The following is a 21636-nucleotide window of genomic DNA, read 5'->3' as shown; positions in this document are numbered from 1 at the left end:
TGCGCTGGGCCAGTGACAATGAGGCAGGATGCCCTCCCCGCTCCCCAGACCAGCCTGGCTGAGAGACCCACCACCCCTCAGGGGCTGGGGCCCACAGAGGTAACCTGGCTAACCCCCTCCTGCCCTGTCACAAAGGGGAGGGCGGGCCAGCCCCTGCTCAGGCTCCCAGAGCCAGCTGGGAAGGAGGGCAAGCCCCTGGGCCATTTCCCAGAGGCCACATCCGTGCTGGGCCTGTCTGGCCTCCGGTGGCCCAGTCTTTCCCTCTTTCTTTTTTGCACTGGGACAGACAGCGGGGGGGAAGGACCCCCCACCCCCCAACACACACCAGGTGCTGGGATGCACCAGTGACCAAGGCAGCTCTGTCTCTGGGGCTCAGGATGAGGTCAGGGGGGGTCCCACATGTAACCTGGGAATGTCGATATAATGTTTTGAGGGCTTTGACAGACACTAGAGCCTCAAAAGCTCCAGTCTGGGAATGAGGAGGCCTTCCTGGGGACGCCCATTTATGAAGAAGCTTCCCTGGCTTCTGGGCCTAGAATCCACGAGGAAACCTTGCTTTCAAGGAGTTTCTGCTCCGTGTCCTCCTCCTCTCCACCTCTTTCTCTGCTTTCATTTCGTCGGACTGGCTGCGCCCCTACCTTTCTCTCTGAATCCATCACACCCCTCCCTGACTCCTGCCAGGCCATGGCAGAATTGCTGTTCCCAGGAAGGGTAGGTAAACGCTGGAGACGCAGCAGACCTTTCCCCACAGTACCCTGGCTTGGTGTCCACCCCTCTGCCATGGATGGCAGGAGGGACAGCCCCCCTACCCTGGCCGTACCTTTGCTCAGCCAGCTTCCCTTCTCGGTGACTCCATTACTGAGGCCACAGCCCATCACCCAGCCATCCTTCCTGGGGGAGGTTGGCCAGGAATTTTTGTACATTTATAAGTTTGTATTGTCTGAGGGGAAGCAGCCAAAAAAGAAAAGTTTTATCAGAGAATTGGACTTGGCTTTCCCTCAAAAGCCAATGGGGTTTCTGAGGAACGGATTTGAGGGGACACTAAGGCCTGGGGGGCAGGAAGGGCCTGGGAGTTCTGTGTCTCCCTTTAACTGGGGGCTCCCTGAGGAAGGGGCTGTGTTCCCACCTCAGAATGGGGGCTCTTTGAGGCCACAGCCATGTCCCTCAGTCTGAGCTGCTTGAGAGTCGGAGCCCTGCCTCTGCCCCGACTGGAGTGTGATGATCAGATGCCCCGCCCCACCCCTCAGGTCGAAGCAGGCACTGGGATCCCAAGGTGGTCCAAGGATGTTGCAGGGACCAGTGTTCCTTGGCCAAGGTTCTTTTAGTCCAAGATTCATCTCCCCGCCCCCAAACGCTCTCCTTTGCTCCCAGGTCTCCCAGAGTCTCTTGGGCCTTTGCTTTGGAGACTTCCTGCAAATTCCACAGCCTGGCCCCGGCCCCGGCCCTCTGGCCTGATCAGCCCAGGTTCTCCGGTCCGGCCACTCCTCTAGACCTTATTCTGTTTTTGTTTTTTGTTTGTTTGTTTGTTTTGTTTTGTTTTTAGACAGAGTCTTGCTGTGTCACCCAGGCTGGAGTGCAGTGGCACAATCTCGGCTCACTGCAACCTCCGCTTCCCCGGTTCAAGCAATTCTCCTGCCTCAGCCTCCCAAGCAGCTGGGATTACAAGCGTGTGCCACCACGCCCGGCTAATTTTTGTATTTTTAGAAGAGACAGGGTTTTGCCATGTAGGCCAGGCTGGTCTCGAACTCCTGACCTCAGGTGATCCACCTGCCTCGGCCTCCCAAAGTGCTGGGATTACAAGCATGAGCCACCGCGACTGGCCTAGCCCTGCTTATTCTCAAATTTCCTCCCCATCCCCCTACACACCGGTTGGTTTCTACCTCTAGCCTTTTCTTATGCCATCCCCTGGGCCTGAAGCACGCTTTCCATTTCTGCACTTAGCAGTTTTTATCATCGTTTCTGGCCCAAAACAAAGTCCTCCACCTCCCAGCAGCCTGCCCTGACTGCCCTACCCCATGCCAGCCTCACCTCTCTCCTCCCTCCCCGGAGTTCCCCTCAGAGCCATGCACCCATCACTTTATGGGGTCTGACACTTCCATGCTCAGTCCCATGCAACACACAAGCTGCTGGAGGAGGGGCAGGGGCAGAATGATGGATGAGGCTGCAGCGGCTTTGCTCCCTGCCGGGGCTGTGGTTAGATCTCCCCTCCAAGAAGCCTGATATTTTCCAGGAATTTCCTGAGGGGAGGGGGCCAAGTACTCTGGAATGAAAGCCAGCTGTGGGGTTGAGGCCTGAGGGTGGGGAAGGGGGCTCTGGGCTTCCTGGCTGAGTCAGCGGACCATTCCTAGGTAATTTATGGGCTGAGTCAGAGCTGTGGCAGTGGGGCGAGGGGTGGGGTTGGGAGAGCTCCCTGGTCTCTAGGCAGTCTGTGGAGGGGAGGGCAAGAGGACTGGCTGGAAGTAAGTCTGGCTGAGTCCAACACAGACCCCCTCTCCCCATCAGCCTCCCCACTGCTTGGAGCCTGTAAAAGCAGCAGCCAAGAGACGGAACCGTGGGGGATGGATGCAAGCTGGCAAAAGGGGAGAAGCCCCTGGCAGGCACTGGGGGCTCCTGAAGACAGAGGGGCACGCTGGCAGGGAGGGGCTTGGGCCAGCCTCAGGGCTAATTTGAGGGTAAAGAGAACTGCTAATTCCAGCACCTCAGCCTGGGTGCCCCCTCCCGCCCTTTTGTAGCAGGCCTGGCCTGGGCTGAAAAGCAGATCTGGGTTCTAATCTCCCTTCTGCATGGACCTGCGGGTGACACAAGCTTGGTGCCTTCTCCTCTCTGAACTTCAAGTCCTTACTTGGACAAGATGGCCTGGCTCCTCCCAGCCCTGGATTTGGGGATGCTCCGATGCTGCCTGGGAGCCCAGTCTGATCATGGTGGCCTGGAAATCAAGGCTAAGCGAAAGGAAAGCCTGAAAGAGCTGCACTCTAAGCACCACAGCAGGACTTGCCCCTGAATGGAGATGGGGCTGGGGCAGGAAGGTGGCAGGGAGGGGCTGGGCCCTGTGACTGTCACCTCCAGGTTGGAGGAGTGGGGAGGGAAAGGCAGGGCAGGGTGCGTTATCACACACACACTCACCCACATACACTCAAGCACACACCACAGAGTCCAAGGAAAACCTGTTTCTGTCCTAGCACTGAGCCAGGGATCCCACACAAAGATGGGTCCTGGCCAAGCGCAGTGGTTCACGCCTGTAATCCCAGCACTTTGGGAGGCCAAGGTGGGAGGACAACTTGAAGTCAGGAGTTTGAGACCAGCCTGGCCGACATGGTGAAACCTTGTCTCTACTAAAAATACAAAAATTAGCCAGGCATGGCAGTGCATGCCTGTAATCCCAGCTACTCAGGAGGCTGAGTCAAAAGAATCGCTTGAACCCAGGAGGCGGACGTTGCAGTAAGCCAAGATTGAGCCACTGCACTCCAGCCTGGGTGACAGAGTGAGACTCCGTCTCACAAAAAAAAAAAAAAAAAAAGAAAAGAAAAAGAGAAAGAATGGGTCCTGATGAAGTTCCTAGGAGGCTCCCTCCTGCTGACAGAGCACAGCAGGAGTGTCCCCCTGGGCGATGGGGCCCAGCTTTCCCATGTCATTCATGGGCATCTGTTGCATCATGATATCTGTTGCAGAATCATCCCATAGTGGCTTCCAAGCAGGGCGTTGCAGCTGAGACTGGCCCTGGTCTCAGCATCTTCGGAGAGGCCCCAGATTGATAAGTGTCTTGTTCTGAGTCATGGCTCAAAGTCCCCATGACAGACAGGAATCCCTATCAGCATGGTAGATTTCATAAACCCCAAATTAGGGCATGAGATCTGAAAAAGAATCTGGGGGATTTGTGATAACATGTGAGGGCATACAAATAAGGACTCTTACTTGCTCAAGACTAACAAACTGCATGTCTTGACAAGAGTAGCCAAGATGAAATCAAATGTAGACAGGAGGGTTCTGAACACACGTGGGGTCACTGGTGTGGCTTGGCCCGGGACTACCCCTCTCCCCCTCATCACCCAAATCCACCAGAGCCTTCTAGAGGAAGCATTCTCCCCACTGGTGGCGTGGTGGGGCCAGGGCCTCGACAGGGACTGTTGTAATCATCCAGGTGGGAAATGACAGAGAGGTGGTGAGAGGCGGGTGGGCTCTGGAAGAAGTTGGAATCCTGCTGACAAGATGCTCCAGTGGTTTGGACATGGGTCTGAAAAACTCCAGGACGGCTATCCAAGGTTTCGGCCTCAGTGAATGAAGGGATGGGGTTGCCACTGACTGAGGAAGAGAATGTATTCTATTGCATATTTAATTAATTACTTTGATGTGAAAAGTCCAAATAACAACTATGTCTGGAACTGAGCAGGGCATCCGTGGGACCACCGCCCACAGGCACCCAGGGCTTATGGCACCACCCACCCCCGTCGTGGGAGGCCCCAGAGACCCCGGCAGAGAAAGAGGGAGGCTCACCCTCTTGCTGTGGTGTGTGTGGGAGGGGCAGTGTGAAAAGGTCTGGCCCACCTGAGTCCCCTGGGCTGGTAGGAGAACTGGGGCCGGGCAGGGGGTGGTGTTGGAACAGGAGGGGTGGTGTGTGAGCCTCTGTGGGCAAAGACCCACCGTGGCCCACAGAGGCTCTTTCTCCTCAGACCCGGTGTGCTGTTACCAGAGCCTTCTAGAGGAAGTGTTCTCCGAGCTGAGGGCGGCTCTTTGATTCTCCAGGCCACAAACCCCCGCAGCCCGGCCTGGCCAGAGGCGTGCCTGTGCATCCCGGCAAGTGAGCGCCCAGGGACTCTCGGCCAGAGAGGCTGTGAGGGTGGCTTTGTGAGGATGGCTTTGTGTGGCTGCACATTGCCCTTGGCCAAGCCCCGCTGCCAGGAGAGGCAGCTCGGCTGCCAAACCTCCTGAACCCAAGTTACCTGAGCAAGCAGCCCTATCCCCTCGCCTGCTTCTCACTGCCTCGCCTGCCTTGGGCCTGCCCGACCCAGGGGGTCACATGCCTTGTTCCCCATCAGTGGAGACCAGGGACAAGAAGACAGTTCTGTGGGAAGAGCCAGGAGGACCATTTGGGAAAATACAGGTTCCAGGTGTGTCTCCAGACCTTGAGAGTTGGTGTCTCCTGGGAAGAGGCCCTGATGAGATCTGGGGAGATTCGGATCTGATGAGATTCAGGAAGCCCTGGCCTCTCCGTACTTGAGGAGACGGGACACACAGGACAAGCTGCAGGCTGGTGAGCAGGTATGTTCTGCTTCTTTGAGGACAAGAGAACCCTGGATCCTTGAGGGCTCTCAAGGGGCATTTACAGGGTCTGAGCCTAAATCGAGGCATCAGGTCCCAGAGAGGGCGAGGGTGCGTGTGCTCAGACAACCCGAGGTCCCGCAGAGGCCACCAGAGCCCCCAAGGGGGGTCGGAGAGAGTCCACTTCCCGCCAGAGGTGCGATGTGGCCACATCACTGGGCACCTAGTCCTTCTTTCTGCCAGCCTCAGCCATATGATGAGCAACCAACGCCTAAAGCTTCCTGAGCTGGAGGCGGGGAGGCAGGACTGGGGAGATTGGAGCTGGAGTGGAGTGGGCCTGAGCTGGGGACGGTGGGGTTCCTGTGACCCCGCAGGGTGAATGCCTGAGCTGGTTGCTCTGGATATGTGACCTGCTCCTCCCTTCTGTAAACTCTTCACCCTGATCTGGAGAAGGTGATCCCCAAGGGCTAGGACCCACCCACCCAGAAATACACTAAATAAGTAAATGTGCTCTGTTCAGATTTTATCTAATCAGGATTCCAGAGCACAAGACAAATGGCCTCACGTCCGGCTGGGAGGTGTAATTCATTCTCCTGGGTGAGTCCAAAGCCTGGGGCAGAGTGGGGAGAGGAGGGGCGGGGTGATTTAGTGTAGTGGAACGTGCACTAAGGGTCTGGGAGGCCCTGAAGCTTGGAGTGCAGGGCCCAGCGCCAAGACCTCCAGAACAACCCAGCCTTCCTCGGGATCTGCCCAGGGATGGAAACGAACCCTAGTGTCCTTTCTTTCAGGGAGTCTATTTCTGGGACTTATTCCAGGGAATATACATAGGTGGTCATTCAAAGATTTAGCCACAAAGTTGTCCTTCACTGTGACTTCTAAGCCTGAAAAACCGGAAGCAACCTAAATGTCCAAAAATGGGGCATGGGTTAAATACATTGTGAAACATCCAGAAAACAAAACACAATTGAGCCTTTAAAAATGATGTAGAAGAGCATCTAATGACATAGAAATAAGCAGATAGCATAACGAACAGAATAATACAAAGCTGAGATGTATATAAAATAATCTGATTTTTAAATCATTGATTGGGCTGGGCGCAGTGGCTCATGCCTGTAATCCCAGTACTTTCGGAGGCCGAGGCAGGCAGATCACCTGAGGTAGGGAATTCGAGACCAGCCTGACCAATATGGAGAAACCTCATCTCTACTGAAAAATACAAAATTAGCCAGGCGTGGTGGCACATGCCTGTAATCCCAGCTACTCAGGAGGCTAAGGCAGGATAGTTGCTTGAACCCGGGAGGCGGAGGTTGCAGTGAGCCGAGATTGCACCATTGCACTCCAGCCTGGGCAATAGTGAAACTCCGTCTCAAAAAAATAAATAAATAAATAATAAAGCATTGATTTATGAAAAACGTTGGAAGGATATACAATAAAACATTGACGAGTGGTGAGCTAAGGGGTAATTTTAGATTGCTTCTTTTTCTTTGTTTTTATTTTGGTTTTCCTTATTTGAATTTTTAATTTTTTTAGCATAATCATGCACTTACACAATAGACAAATATAAGGAGAGCTATTACTTTACAAACCAGAATCTCCGAGATTTAGCTCAGGAAGAATTCCTGGGTAGGAGAGACAGCTGGCTCAGTCAGCCCTCACTCCACCTCCCTCTGTGCACTCTCCTCTTTGGGTCACTTTTCTTCATTCCCACGGCTTCTTTCTGGCTGGGCCCCAGGGATGCCACCACTTTTTTAATTCTGTGGGCCAAACATAGCTAGAAACCCAGCCTTGGTGGTTGTTTGAGACCGAGTCTCACTCTGTCACCCAGGCTGGAGTACAGTGGCGTGATCTCGGCTCACTGCAATCTCCACCTCCCAGGTTCAAACAATTCTTATGCTTCAGCCTCCTGAGTAGCTGGGATTACAGGTATGTGCCACGACACCAGGCTAATTTTTTGTATTTTTACTGGGTTGGCCAGGCTGGTCTTGAACTCCTGGCTTCAAGTGACCTGCCCATCTTGGCTTCCCAAAGTGCTGGGATTACAGGCGCGAGCCACCACACCTGGCCGAAACCCAGTCTTTCGCTTCTTTTAACAAGCACAGCTAAGAAACCTGGGAAGATCAGACCAGATGGCACTAATAAGGGCACTGAAGGGAAGGCAACAGGACGTAAACATGGTGCCCAGAAGAACTGTAAACCCAATCCAGCTTCCCAAGGCAGGGGTGTCCTAGTCCTACCTTAACCAGTTACCCTCTGGAGGCTCCCAACTCCTGTCCATCCTATGTGGAGGTTTATGAGGGGACAGAGACCCCACCAAGTCCTTTGTCCCATCATAATTTTTATCACCTTCTTTTCAGGTTCACCTTCTATTTTGAAGACCCGCTTCTTCCTCAGGTACCTGATCTTGAAAACGACCTCCCCTTTCAGGTAGGACCCACCATGACATATGGAGAGTGATCTAGCCCTTGGTCCAGGCTCCTGATAAAAAATATTCCAGCGCACCCCCAAGCCACAGCACTCATTTCAGAGAACTGGCACCTCACACACATAAAAGGCCTCTCAGGACCCAAGAAGCTCCCAGGCTCCAAGAGCAGATACATTGGCTTGGCAGCCCCAAGCTTTCCTTCACACCACTCCACCTGCCTCAGTGAAAAACAGACAAGTAATCAATGAATTATTTCCCCATTAAAATAAACTAATAGCATTAAAAACTGTAATCTAAATATAGGCTAATTGTAAAAAATATGGAAAATCTGAAAAAGTATAAGAAATAAAATGAAAATACTCCATAATAATCACACTAAATGGAGATAACCATTATTGCTATACACATACACATTTAAATGAAACTGAGGTAATACCATGTGCATACACACATAGTATATATAAAATCCTGATCTTTTTCCATATCAATTACATCATAAGAATTTTCTTGGGTCATTAAAATATTCTTTGAAAATACGATGTAAAATGGCTGCATAGTATCCTATTGTACGGTACAGTGGTTACTAAGCCAATTTCCTAGTGTTAGGCATGTGAACTGTTTCAAAATTGTTCATTATTTTAAATAATAATTTAATAAACATTCTTACACATACATCTTTGCATACATCTCTGATTATTTCTTTCTCTCTTTTTTTTTGGGCGGGGGGGATGGAGTTTCGCTCTTGTTGCCCAGGCTGGAGTGCAATGGCATGATCTCGGCTCACCACAACCTCTGCCTCCTGGGTTCAAGTGATTCTCCTGCCTCAGCCTCTCGAGTAGCTGGGATTACAGGCATGTGCCACCACACCCAGCTAATTTTGTATTTTTGGTAGAGACGGGGTTTCTCCATGTTGGTCAGGGTGGTCTTGAACTCCCGACCTCAGGTGATCTGCCCGCCTCAGCCTCCCAAAGTGCTGGGATTACAGGCGTGAGCCACCGTGCCCAGCCTCTGATTATTTCTTTAGGATAAAGTCCTAGAAGTGGGATTATGAAGTAAAAGGATGTGAATCCCTGCAAAGTTCTTGGTGTCTGGGAGCAATGTGTTTTTGATAAATTGTGTTACCGTAGTCCCCTCTTATCTTCAGGGGACATGGCCCAAGCCCCGCAGTGGGTGTCTGAAATTGTAGTTAGTATTGAACCCTGTATACACTATGTTTTTTCCTATACATACATACCTATGATAAAGTTTAATTTATAAATTAGGCACAGTAAAAGATTAACAACAATAATAAAATAGATCAATTATAACAATATGCTGCAAGAAAAGTAATGTGAGTATGGTCTTTCTCCATGTGTCTCAAAATGTTATATTGTAGATCCTAGCTACCTGAGCTAAGATCTGAGATCTAAAATCTTGATTTTTTTTTCCATATAAATTATATCATAAGAATTTTCCTGGGTCATTAAAATAGTCTTTGAAAATACAATTTTATTTGATTTATTTATGTATATTTTTTGAGACAGGGTCTCTCACTTTGTCACCCAGGCCGGCGTGCAGCAGGGCAATCGTGGTTCACTGCAACCTCGACCTCCCAGGGTCAAGTGATCCTCCAGCCTCAGCCCCACAAGTAGCTGGGACCACAGGTGTGCACCACCGTGCATGGCTAATTTTTGTGTTTTCTGTAGAGACGGGGGTTTCTCCCTGTAGCCCATGCTGGTCTTGAACTCCTGAGTTCCAGCGATCTGCCCACCTTGACCTCCCAAATTGCTGGGATTGCAGGTGTGAGCCACAATGCCCAGCCTGAAAATACAATTTTTAATGGCTGCATAGTATCTCATTGTTTGGCACAATATACACTTTTTTTCTTTCCTTATTAAGTCAAGAACTTCCACCTTTTAATTTAAAGGAAGCACTTCACGGCTTCTCTTTGGCACATCCAAATTTCCAGCATTGCTACTCTTGTGCTTTGGGGCCATTACAAGGTAAAACAAGGGTTACTTGAACACAAGCACCATGATACCTTGACAGATGGCCCCTAAGGGACACGCAGGTGGGTGGCAGCCACAGCATGGATACGCTGGAGAGAGGAATGATTCATGTCCCAGGTGGGACATCAGGGGATGGCCTGTTGGAGTAGGAGTCAGGAGGCCAGTGTGGCCAGAATGGAAACTTGACATCTATTCTTATGATTCTTTAAGGGAAGTGAACCCCACTGTGACAGCCTGGCCTAGGCCAGAAGGCAGCAGAATGGCAGAGGGCAGCTTCCACAGCTCCAACACCTGCTCAGGTGTTTATGGCAGTGAGGAGGGAGAGCATGTCCCAGAGCTGGGTTCCACTGTGCCGGGTGCTGAGAGTCCAGGGCTGACTAGGTCATGACTCTGCTTCTAAGTTGATTTTATAAATTCGGCACAGTAAGAGATGAACAACAACAATAATAAAATAGATCAATTATAACAATATGCTGCAATGAAAGTTATGTGAGCATAGTTTTTCTCTCTATGTCTCAAAATATTGTAGATCCTAGCTTCTAAGTTCAATTTATAAATTAGGCACACAATCCCATGGGGTCGACGGATGGACACTGTTAACAAGCATATGGCATGACAGATAGGGGAGGCTTCCTGGAGGAGGTGACATTTGAGTGGGGCATTGAGGGATGAACAGGTGAATTGGATTTCAACAGGCAGGGAATATATTAATACCTGTTTGCTGAGAAGAGCATAAGGGACCCATCGTTATTAGGGTGTGGACCCATGGCCTTGATCTGGGATTATCACTGGGAAGTAGAGAAAGCAGAGAGTGAGAAGAGGGTTCAGAAGAGGACCCTGGGCCACATGGCCATGTTGAAGGTGGGGTAAGAGGTGGGGCTGGAAAGTGCTGGAAGGGGGCTAAGGAGGAGCATCAAGGCATGAGGAACACCAGTGGAGTGGGCTGTCACAAGATTTAAGAACGACCAACGGAGAAAATATCACATATTGATGGGAGGCCAAGAGAGACAGGCTCTAAGGAGGGCCCAGGGCCGGCAAGCATTTGGTCCCGGGAGACCCTGGCAGGGGCCGGGCTGGTAAAGTGGACAGGATAGAGGTCGGGGGCATTTGATTCCTGCGGCTGTCATGGTAACAAACCACTTCAAACTGAGGGGCTTAAACAACACACATTATTCTCTTACAGTTCTGGAGGCCAGAAGCCCAAAATCAGTCTCGCTGGGCTAACGTGAAGGTGTCAGTCGGGCTGGTTCCTTCTGGAGGCTCCAGAAAAGAATCTGTTTTCTTGCCTTTTCTGGCTCAGTTTCTCGGCTTGTGGCTCCTTCCTCCATCTTCAAAGAGCACCACTCCAATCTGCTCCTCCATCAGGTCACCTTCTGCCTGACTCCTACATCCCTTTCAGAAGGACCCTTGTGATTCCATGAGGTCCACCCAGATCACGCAGGATAATGTCCCCGTCTCAAGAGGCTTAATCTAATCACAGGTGAAAGCCCTATACGAGGTGTCATGGACAGATTCTGGGCCTAAAGACATGAACATCTGTGGGGGCATCACTCAGACTTCCACGGGTGACAAGGGCCCCATGGTGGGAGGGGAGAAGAGGAGGAAACGGGAGAGTGAGGATTCACCAGGAGACTGGCCCGAGAAAGGAGACACGGATTGGACAGGCTCAGCCAGTGGAAGACCGTCCTGCCTGGAGGGAAGTGGCTTTTAGGAGTTTTTTCCTGAGCCTGTTGTGTCTCCTTCCCTCCTTTCTCCCCCAAATCCAACTAGAAAACTAGAAACATAATCTGTTGTGTTGACTCCATAGGTCTTGCTTCCCCTCAACCCAGACACCGACTCGCCCAAGGGTCTTCCAGCTGGCTGAGTTGGAACCTGCATTTTTTAACCACAAGGAAAAGAAGCCCAGAGCTACCAAGAATAATATTTTATTGACTTGGAATGAGTTTTGGAATCTGTATTTTTAACAAGCTGCCCAGGTGATTTTGATGATCAGACAGTTTGAGGTGGTTTTTTTTTTTTTCCTTTCCTCTTTCTCTTCCCTTCAGTAAACTGTTTTTCAACTTTGTTTTTCAGTGAAAACCATTTCCTCCTCGTCGTGGCGCAGGTCCAGAGGCTGCGCCCATCTCTCCCACGTCAACAGTCCTGTGTCCTTGGCGAAGGACTGTTCTCTCATTCAGTGCCTTTCCTCTCTTCCTGGGCCAAATCCCTGCTTTGCGTCTCCCTGCAGCTCATAAAAAGCTGAATTACCTGAGGCAGGGAAAGCCCCACCCACTGTCATTCTCAGGGAGGAGTGGAGTCTGCAGAGGCCGCAATGCACAGCTTCCCTATCCCCCTCCACCCGTGTTTTCCCAGAGCAGCTCTGTTCCAGGCCCGGGGGTGTCCCTGGGCCGAGATGGAATCCAGCCCTGACCACCTCCCAAAGCCAACAGCCCTGAGTGAGCGTGCAGAGAAGCAAGAGCTGTTCCTGATGCAGAGCAAAGACATCTCCCAGTCAAGGGGGATGAACTGATTTGGGACAAAAGGCAGTTGTTGGCTGAGGAAGGCAGGATCTGGGGGAGCCCTGTGCTGAGTGGAGGTGGGTGGGTGTATTTCCTTGGCTCACAGAGGCCTCTTGTCTGGTGGGATCAGCTCCTCCAGCCAGTTGCCACCTGGTCCAGCTTTGGGAGATGTGGAGAATGACTTTCGCAGTGATTTCCACTGGGCCATGGCATTGAAACAGCTGCAGGAGGGGACACAGCTGGTGCCACCCCTACTCCGTCCATTAGAGCTGCTGTGAAGGAATGCCACCCTCCCCATGGGGAGTGAGGGGGCCCTACTTGCTGTGGTTGGTTCCAGGGACCATGGGAAGAGGCAAACCCCTATTTTCAAGGGCACAAGTTGGCTTTTATTAAAATAAAATTTCATCATCACTTATTCCAGTGGCTCCCAAACTTGGCTAAACATCAGGATCACCCAGGATGTTTGTTAAAAAATAAAGATTATGGCCGGGTGCAGTGGCTCACGCCTGTAATCCTAGCACTTTGGGAGGCCCAGGCGGGCAGATCACTTGAGGTCAAGAATTCGAGACCAGCCTGGCCAACATGGGGAAATGCTGTCTCTACTAAAAATACAAAAATTAGCTGGGTGTGGTGGTGCATACCTGTAACCCCAGCTACTCGGAGGCAGAGGCAGGAGAATTGCTTGAACTTGGGAGGCAAAGGTGGCAGTGAGTCGAGATAGCGCCACTGCACTGCACTCCAGCCTGGGTGACAGTGCGAGACTCTTGTCTCAAAAAAAAAAAAAAAAAGATTAATAAAAATAAAGAGTTTTAGAACTCATCCTAGACGGAATCAATCAGAATCTCTTTGGGTAGGCTTGGGCTGGAATCAGTGCGAAATCTGACTAATCAGATTGCTTTCCTGATTCCAGACGGTTGAGCCCATAGAACAGGAGTGAGAAGATGGAAGGGCGAGGGGGCTGGGATGATGAAAACTTGCGCCTGCAGCCACCATTCATTACAGAGCGCCGGGGGCCAGCTGCAGAACTGTAGACTCCTCATACATCATCGTGTTGAGTCTTCAAAACAAACCTATGAGGTGTGCCCAATTGTTTCCATTTTGCTGGTGAGAAAATGGGAGCTCAAAGTGGCCACACACACAGCTAATAAGAGGCAGAGCCAGGACTCAGGCCCAGATCTTTCTCTTGACTCCTCTGCCGTGGAAGGGATCATGAGAAAACCTGGCCCCAGCTCCGGAGTCAGGCCAGCACATGACCCAACTGTCATGCCAGCACAAGCTGCCTTCTGGACACTTCTCTGGTGGGCTCTCTCTGTCTCAGGGCTTCAGCTGCCCCCTGCTCACTCCCCTCACATCAGTCACTGTGTAGCTGGGGACACAGAGGTGGCTGAGACATGGCCATCATCAAGGCAGGGGGTTCATGGAAAGGGCATGAGCTACAACCAGGAGAGAGGGCTTCTGGTTCCAGTGCCACCACCCAGAGCTCTGAAAGGGGCCCCAACACCCTTTTAGATGGACTAGATTGGGTGGTCTCTGGGGGTCCATCCACTCTTAAAAAGCAGAGTCTGATCACCTGACTGCCCTGGCACCCCCCCCGCCACTCCAGCACGTGGCCCTTGCTGACACATCTGCCCTGCAAGGCTGATGAGCTGTGGCTTCTTGCCTCTTTGGCTCCTTCCAGCACCCAGGAGTTTCTGGTACATGGTAGGCGTTCAGTGGGGTGACCCTTCATGGATAATCAGCAATTATGCATTAGGCACTATTGATAACCGCAGACCCTGGACTAAAATACTAGGAATTCAGAGAGGGCCCTACCTCTACGGAGTTTATAGCCTCGTAGGGGAGAAAGATAGAAAACACCATGAATCGATTACAATTGTGGTCAGTGCTAGGAAGAAAAATAATAGGATAGTTTAAGAATGGGATTGGGGGGAGTTCTAATTTAGACAGAGGCATTAGAAACATTTAACCTGAGACCCGAAGGATGAATAAGAGCCATATGGAAACTGGAGGTAAGGTGGGAGTGGGGACAGTGTTTTGGGCGAAGGGAGCAGGAGTTGCAAAGGCCCTGAGGTGGGGAGGATGGACACCAGGGAACCCAATGAGGGCCAGTGTGGCTGCAGGGACTGAGCTGGCAGGAGGGGCTCAGGAGCAGCAACTGATATTGAAGATGGCCAAGGTCAGACCATCAGGGTCTTGTGTTTGTTTGTTTGTTTGTTTGTTTTTCTGTCCCTCAGGCTGGAGTGCAGCAGCGCGATCTCGGCTCACTGCAACTTCCACCTCCTGGTTTCAAGCAATTCTCCCGCCTCAGCCTCCCGAGTAGCTGGGATTACAAGCACCCGCCACCATGCCCGGCTAATTTTTATATTTTTAGCAGAGGCGGGATTTCTCCATGTAGCCCAGGCCGGTCTCGAACTCCTGACCTCAAGTGATCCACCCACCTCAGCCTCCCAAAGTGCTGGGATTACAGGTGTGAGCCACCATGCCCCGCCAGCCATCAGAGTTTTATAGCAAGAATTTTTACCTTTGTCCTTAGTGCAATGGGAAATCCTTGAAACGCTATTATTGCCTTCCTCTGCAAGGAAAGGTTATTTTGGTGAGCAGTGGATAGAGGAAATGCAGAGGGAGCCACTAAAGGGTTCTGGTGAGATCTGGAGCCCTGCTGGGATAATCTGACCAGAGAAAGCAAAGATTCCAGAGAGCTAGGCACACTTGCCCTACCTCCAGCTGCACACAGCTGGTTCCAGCTTTGTCCTGACCTTCAGTCTGGCATACAGGGTAGACCCACTGGTACCTGGTACCTCACTCTGGGGGTGAGGTGGCCACCCACCTAGGTCTGGGTCCTGTAGCAGTTTGGCAGCAACATCTGGGTGATAAGAGAAGGCGATTTGACCTACTCCCAGGGACAAGAAGCTTTGACTCTTCAAGATCATAAAGTCTTCCCTCCTGGCCTTGGGTCCTCCTGTTGCGGGAGAGGTGAGGTGGGGTGAGGGTCCTCCGGGAGGGCAGGCTTGGCAGAGCCCAGCACCATCTCAGCAGACACTGCTCTTCTCCTACTCTCAGCACCTCCAAGGCAGTGAGTGGCTTTCTCTTGTCTAGAGGACAAAATCCGTTCCTCACCTGGACACAATGAACCTGTCTGTGGGATTTAGGGAGCATCAAGGAGGGAATTTAGTTTCCGCAGACTTCAAGGAAGACTTTCTGGAGGAGGTGATGCCTGAGAGCTATCCAGGAGAGAAGAGTGAAAAAATGTTAAGCAGTGGAAAAACATGAACCAAACTGTGGCTGCATCTTCCCATAGGTATGTGTAGGTAGACTCAGCATTTTACTGTTTCTGGGCATAAAGCACAGTACCATCTGCCCTAGGAAGCCCTTCTGCCATAGTAAACAGCCTCACATGGCTTCCAAAGGGCTCTTGGGCACTTCAGGGACCAGAGCCCAGCACACTGCTGGGGAGGCCAGGCTGTGCCTGGGTGGCCTGAGCTCTGGGAGTTTAAGCCAACGTGGATTATTGTTAGGAGTGAGTTTCATAGCCCTGCCTCTCCCATTCAGAGATCTCCACTCCCTACCCAGCAGCCTTGCGTAGGGTCTAGGATTCTTCTCCCCACATCACAGGTGGGCAGAGGAGGACTCTGCCTTAGGGAAGGTTGAAATTAAGATCCTAAACTAAGTTGGGCTGGGGTTAACTCTTCACAGATGGAGGATCTCCTTCAGCACGGGCTGAGGGCTGAGGGCCCCAGATCAGGGCATCAGACTCCTGGGGCTGCTTGCAGGGTAGAGAGGACCTCCATTCTGACGAGTCCCAGGACTCAGCACTGAGTAGAGAGGGGAGGGGCCGTGCCCATTTGACCAGACGTCCGATAAGGCAAGAGACTCTTGTTTTAGCATCAGAGCTGGAAGAGGCCCAGGGAGACTGTCCCTTGAAGCTTGAGGCCCTGAGAGGGACACTGGCTATGGAAGGTTGAACAATGGCCCCCAAACACGTTCACATCCTTATCCCCAGAGCCTGTGAATATGTTCTCTTAACAGGGCAACAGGGACTTAGCGCGTGCAATCAAGGATCTCCAGATGGGGATAACCCAGGTGTGCCCAACCTAATCTCAGTGTCCTTGGAAGAGGGATGCAGAAGGAGTCAGAATCAGAGAAGAAGGTGACACGATGAAGGAATCCGAAATTAGAGTGATGCTCTTTGAAGATGGAGGAAGGGACCACAAGCTGAGAAATAGAGGTGGCCACTAGACACTGAAAAAGGCAAGGAAGTGGATTCTCCCCTGGAGCCTCCAGAAGGAACCAGCTCTGCCGACACCTTGACATTAGCCCATTGAGACTGATTTAAGGGCTGCTGGCCTCCAGAATTGTAAGAGAATAAACGTGTGTTGTTTAAGGCCCTTGGTTAGTAGCGATTTGCTACAGCAGCTGCAGAAACCTAATAAGTATAGGTTCCACCTAGAGACGCAGAACTAGCCAGCGGCCGATCCTGCTCCGGGACCCTGCAGGCCCCAGCTCTATGGAATCCTGTCGCACACGGGATGGACGTGGGCTAGAGGCGGAGGTGAGGCCCCAAGGAGGCCCACAGACCAGGGCCTCCAGGGAATGTGCGTGAGTGCGCAGGGGTGCGTGTGTGAGAAGGGGAGGAACTTGTCTTCTTCGTGCATTGGGGATTTTCTAGGCAGACAATCCTCCAAAGTCATGTCAACATTTTTCTCTCCAGGAAAAAATAACTCAAGTCTCTATCAGAAACGTCAGAGTTTCACATGCACACCAGTAGACAGACTTGTGGGTGCCAGCGAGAAATGAGCTGCACCCTGGCCCTGGGCACCTTTCATCTTCAGCGGGCGGGGAGCTAGGCAGAGGGGGTGGGGGGAACCAACACAGCCACTGTGGACACATTGTGCCATCTGGACTTCCCCAGAGCTCTGGGAGTCCTATGGCGGGAGTGGCCCCACCCCTACCACACAATGCTTCCCACTTCCACCAAATCTCTGGGAAGATTCAACACATTTCTTAGCAGCCGAGAGCCATTGGAATTTCCAGCCTTATCCCAGATGTGAGGCTGACCACGATGGGAGTTTGGCTTTGTAAGGCATCTGGGGGGCTGGCAGTGCCCTCAGGCCCCCCAGCACTGGCCCGGCTGGGCTAACGTGCGTGATCCTCCTCACTCTGGGTCCTGCTGTTGGGCTTTCTGTGGCGAGCCGAAGAGAGCCCATGCATGTGGTTTTCGCACATGTGGAGAGGGCTGGGGGGCCTGAAGCCAGCAGGGTGGAGCCCCACAGTCAGGAAGAGACAGACAGCCTCTGGGGCCAGGAGTGGGGGCCGTGACAGGACGGGAATCCAGAGGGGTAAGGGGACTGAGGGAGAGCCAGAGAGGAGCGTTCAGGGAGAGTGGACACAAGCCTGAGGTCTGGCGGGGGCTAGATGTGGAGCCGGTTGGGTGGGGATGAGGGAGGCTCAGGGGTTTAGGGGCTCAAGGGCTTGGTGTGAGCTGGGGTCATAGCTGGTGCCTGGCCACGGGCTGCTGGGAGGGTAGGAAGCGAGGACAATGACCCTTTACCCAGCCAGTGAGCCCTAGTTCCTGGTGCCAAGAGCTGCTCACTCCAGGGCCAGTATTGTGGGAGGCAGGTAGAGAGCTGCAGTGGGGGAAATGCATGCCCATGGCTGGCTCACCCGTGTCGGGGAGAAAGGCAGTGGCCATGAGGGAAAGCACAGGGGAAAGCCCTCCAGGGCCAGCGGGCTCTTCAGCAGGAATGCGGGTCCTCAATGGGTGAAACCATGGGGGGAATAGGAATGTCACCCCTTTTTGCCAGTCTGTCTGTGATTGTCCTCTTTGTTAGAATAATGGCCCCCTGAAGATGTCCACATCCTAATCCCTAGAACCTGTGAATGTCACCTCAAAGGCAAAAGGGACTTGTAGATGTAATTCTGTTAAGGGTCTTAAGATGGGGAGATTATCATGGATTATCTGGGAAGGCCCAACATCATCACAAGGGTCCACATAAGAGGGAGGCAGGAAGGTCAAAGGCAGTGAAAAGGCATGTGCGAGCAGACAGAAGGGAGACTTGAAGATATCACGTGCAGCTGATTTCATTTGTTTGTTTTTGTTTAGAAACAGGGACTGGCACTGTTGCCAAGGCTGGAGTGCAGTGGTGTGATCTCGGTTCACTGCAACCTCTGCCTCCTGGGCTCAAGTGATCCTCCCACTTTAGCTTCCTGAGTAGCTGGAACTACAGGCGTGTACCACCACACTGGCTAATTTTTAAAATTTTTGTAGAGATGGGGTCTCACTATACTGCCCAGGCTCAGCTGACTTTGAAGATGGAGGCAGGGGCCCCAAGCCAAGGAATGCAGGTGGCCTCTAGAAGTGGGAAAGGCAAGGAAATGGGTTCTCCCCTAGATCCTCCAGAAGGAGAGCAGCCCTGCCAACACCTTGTTTTTAGCCCAAAGATGCTGATTTTGCCCTTCTGGCCTCCAGAGCTGTATAAATTTGTGTTGCTTTAAGCCGCTAAGTTGGTGGCGATTTGTTACAGCAGCAGTGGGAAGTAAACACACCTTCCCATCATGTGGTAGGCTCCAGACTCTGCCCTACTCCCTGCGGCAAGGATTTTCAGCGTGACATGGGTAAGGGGCCTCCCTTCTGCCTGCCCCCCAGCACTGACTGAGCTCCAGTGCAGGGCCTCAGGCCAGGAGCAGAGCTAGGCCTTGTCCAGGGCTTTTCCTTGCACTTTCCCTCATGGCCACTGCCTTTGCTCACCCATGGGTGAGTCAGCCATGGGCATGTGGTTCCCCCACTGCAGCTCTCTGCCTCCCACCATACTCTGTGGCTCCACTGCCCCCCGCAACAATGAGAATAATGTTTACCAGCTACAGAGAGAGAGGGAGAGGGAGAGAGAGAGAGAGAGAGAGAGAGAGAGAGAGAGAGAGAGCGCGAGAGCGAGCGAGAGAGCGCTCTGGAAGGCCTTGCTTCCTGGGAACTGGTTGTCAGCAACACCTGCTGTAAATGAGGTTTTAACAAACAAATTCAGGGTCTGTGCTAAGGAAGGGGCAGGAGGTGGCCAGGTTGGGTCAGTGTGTGTGGACATGGGACAGTACAGACGACCCCACATCCCTGCCTCCTAGAATGTTGAGATGTCAAAGCATCCCCTTCCCCAGGTCACTTATTTTTCTCCTCTCTCCTTACAAGCCCAAGCATAGACAACTATGCACAAATGATGCAGGACTCACTTGCACACAGATATACGCAGGGCCACAAGCAGTGCCAACATGTGCGAAGATGGAATGGGCAAACATACACGCAGAGACACCACCCAGCACACTTACAAACATGCATGCACCCACAGACACCTACACACCCATAAATGCACATACACCCACTTCCCGCACTTACATACCCCCACACGGATGCACACAAATACAGACACACCTATGCATGAGTCAAGACCACCCATGCAGTGGACCCCTGGACATCTGTGAGCAGGGCGGAAGGTGCAGGGCATCCTTCCATTCCCTCCCCCACCCCAAGCCCTCTGCTCCCTGCTCTGGAGACCTCTGCTGGTGAGGCCAGGAACGGACGGCCAGCCCCTCCTTGGCTCTGGAGCTGAAGGAGGGGAGATGGGAAAAGAGGGACCAACCAGGGCCACCTCCCAGGCTTTCGGCACTGCTGACTCCACCTGGCCCAAAGGACTTTATTCACTCTCCAATTCCAGCACCGAAGGAGAGATTTCTCCTGCAAAGATCTCTCTTGGGCTTTTTGCTGACCCAGGCCCACCCTGTTCTATCAGTGGACACTTCTAGTGTTTCTGCTGCGGAGGAGGGGGTTTCCCTCTACAGAACAAGGCTCCTTCACTTTCCCATGCTGGCTCCTCACACCCCCCTCACCCCCCCAGGGCTGTTTTGTGGCCGTCCTGGGCAGGCAGTCTTCCTCCCTGCTGCCCACTGGATATCTGAGTGGGCTCGTAGCTCCCTGTTCGAACCTCCACCCCCTATGGCCCCTCATAGGTCCTACCCTCCTGTTCTCAAGGGCTTTTTCTTTCCATTTTGTCCTGCAGGAAGGGGAGGAAGTGAAGATCTTCAGACTAAGATGGATGAAGCTGAATTCAGATCTCAGCTCCAAGGTAGGATGGCAGCTCTCAACAGCTCTCAGCAGCTCTTAACCTCTTGGGCAGCTAACCTAACTGCCCTCAGCCTCAGTTGCACCAGGTGGAATGGAGCTTATGATAGTGCCCTGGCAGGGAGATGAAATGAGATAACATGCTCAGTGCCCAGCACCCAGAAGCTTCCCAGGGTGCCATCTTTCGGAGGCACTCCAACATCACTGGAAATAAAAGGAGACCAAGAAAACCATATCTGCAACTCCTCTATGGGACAGTTGCATGTTTTAATGAGTGGTTTGCAATAGGGTGATTAGGGATACCCCCAAAAGAGCAGGCTAGTATAATAGCAGTCAGTCTCTAAGGAAGGTGGGGAAGGTCTCTGCAGAGTTTTTGTCTCATTGGGGTGAGAGCTGAACCGCTCAGAGGAGATGGAGTGTTGCTAACAGGGACCCTCTTCTCTGCCTACTTGGTAACGGGGACCCTCTTCTCTGTCTACTCCCTCATTCCTCCAAGCACAGATCAGTTTCTGCTACACTAAAGTGGAACATAGTAAAAGAATATGGCTTTGGTAGGATATGAAATTATTCACCTGCCTGGAGTCTCCATGTGTTTCCACTGGGCCCTTCTTGTCAGGTAGAAGTCAGTTGGGTCTGTCTCCAGTCTTGGCACTAAAACTCTCTCCAGATCCTCCACTCAACCCGGCCTCCTCACATCCTCTCTGCCTAGTCTCTGTGCTCACATCGCTACTTAACTCATCACTCCACACCTCGTTCCCCCAACCTTAGGCCACTGGCACAACCCATTTCGGAAGCCTCAAGACTTCTTCAAGGATCAGGATTTCCATTTTGGGGAAATCAGATAGTTCTCATATACTAGCCTGTTTGAAATGGCAACAGGAACAAGAAGCAGCAGCCACCATCCTGCTCAGAAAGCATCTCATGACCTTTCCTTTAAATATCTTCGTCAGGCTGTCCCGACTTTCCAATGGGTTAGATTTCAAAATGTTTCTATGAAGTGGTTTGGCATTTCACACAATGAGCCAATAGAAAGTCGAGAACTCAGGGTTATGAATGGGGCTCAGTTTTCCAGGTTGGGGCATAATAAATGCCCATTAAACCCATCTCAAAGCTGGGCTGCCATTCAGCTACACGGGAAGGACAGAAAACCCTACTGTTGCAAGACCTGTAGTAGAAATGGAAAAATCACAATGCGGATCTGGAAAAGTCAACCTATTTTCTCTTGAAAACTGATGCTTGAAGGAAAGCAGGGTTCTTAACAGGAGGATGGGCAGATGGGTGTGGCATTCTGAAGGAAAGTTTTCAAGGGCTTTTGAAGTCGAAAACTTCTATTCTTCATCATTCTAGTTATCTCTCTGACTTTCAGTCTGC

At 51.9% G+C, this 21636-nt stretch overlaps 1 long non-coding RNA gene across 7 annotated transcripts, besides 6 other annotated features; it reads left to right on the top strand.

The window, feature by feature from the left end:
* Positions 547-1488: an enhancer, noted in NCBI's record as "H3K27ac-H3K4me1 hESC enhancer chr2:43270027-43270968 (GRCh37/hg19 assembly coordinates)". NCBI's record gives its function as "activates a minimal SCP1, AML or CMV promoter by ChIP-STARR-seq in primed H9 embryonic stem cells {active_cell/tissue: H9 hESC(primed)}" and the evidence as "EXISTENCE:reporter gene assay evidence [ECO:0000049][PMID:30033119]".
* Positions 1489-2430: an enhancer, noted in NCBI's record as "H3K27ac-H3K4me1 hESC enhancer chr2:43269085-43270026 (GRCh37/hg19 assembly coordinates)". NCBI's record gives its function as "activates a minimal SCP1, AML or CMV promoter by ChIP-STARR-seq in naive and primed H9 embryonic stem cells {active_cell/tissue: H9 hESC(naive and primed)}" and the evidence as "EXISTENCE:reporter gene assay evidence [ECO:0000049][PMID:30033119]".
* Positions 2132-2426: an enhancer, noted in NCBI's record as "tiled region #14376; K562 Activating DNase unmatched - State 5:Enh". NCBI's record gives its function as "activates a minimal TATA promoter and a strong SV40 promoter by Sharpr-MPRA in K562 cells {active_cell/tissue: K562}" and the evidence as "EXISTENCE:reporter gene assay evidence [ECO:0000049][PMID:27701403]".
* Positions 2431-3373: an enhancer, noted in NCBI's record as "H3K27ac-H3K4me1 hESC enhancer chr2:43268142-43269084 (GRCh37/hg19 assembly coordinates)". NCBI's record gives its function as "activates a minimal SCP1, AML or CMV promoter by ChIP-STARR-seq in naive H9 embryonic stem cells {active_cell/tissue: H9 hESC(naive)}" and the evidence as "EXISTENCE:reporter gene assay evidence [ECO:0000049][PMID:30033119]".
* On the top strand, positions 4820-16523 carry LINC01819 (long intergenic non-protein coding RNA 1819). 7 transcript variants are annotated; one of them, NR_175899.1, is made up of 6 exons: positions 4820-5256; positions 5777-5853; positions 7611-7680; positions 10850-11146; positions 11474-11642; positions 11740-12579. It is a non-coding gene; the product is annotated as a long intergenic non-protein coding RNA 1819 (long non-coding RNA). The 7 variants fall into 7 exon arrangements; NR_110585.1 differs by lacking the exons at positions 5777-5853; positions 10850-11146; positions 11474-11642; positions 11740-12579 and adding exons at positions 9224-9321; positions 13075-13241; positions 14399-15462; positions 16191-16523 and having other exon boundaries at positions 4833-5256; NR_175903.1 differs by lacking the exon at positions 5777-5853.
* Positions 16557-17372: an enhancer, noted in NCBI's record as "H3K4me1 hESC enhancer chr2:43254143-43254958 (GRCh37/hg19 assembly coordinates)". NCBI's record gives its function as "activates a minimal SCP1, AML or CMV promoter by ChIP-STARR-seq in primed H9 embryonic stem cells {active_cell/tissue: H9 hESC(primed)}" and the evidence as "EXISTENCE:reporter gene assay evidence [ECO:0000049][PMID:30033119]".
* Positions 17373-18189: an enhancer, noted in NCBI's record as "H3K4me1 hESC enhancer chr2:43253326-43254142 (GRCh37/hg19 assembly coordinates)". NCBI's record gives its function as "activates a minimal SCP1, AML or CMV promoter by ChIP-STARR-seq in primed H9 embryonic stem cells {active_cell/tissue: H9 hESC(primed)}" and the evidence as "EXISTENCE:reporter gene assay evidence [ECO:0000049][PMID:30033119]".

The sequence above is a fragment of the Homo sapiens genome, chromosome 2 (genome assembly GCF_000001405.40).
Source record: "Homo sapiens chromosome 2, GRCh38.p14 Primary Assembly".
In the NCBI taxonomy this organism is placed as follows: Eukaryota; Metazoa; Chordata; class Mammalia; order Primates; family Hominidae; genus Homo; species Homo sapiens.
Note: the sequence above shows the minus strand (reverse complement) of the source record. Positions and strands in the feature narration are given on the sequence as shown.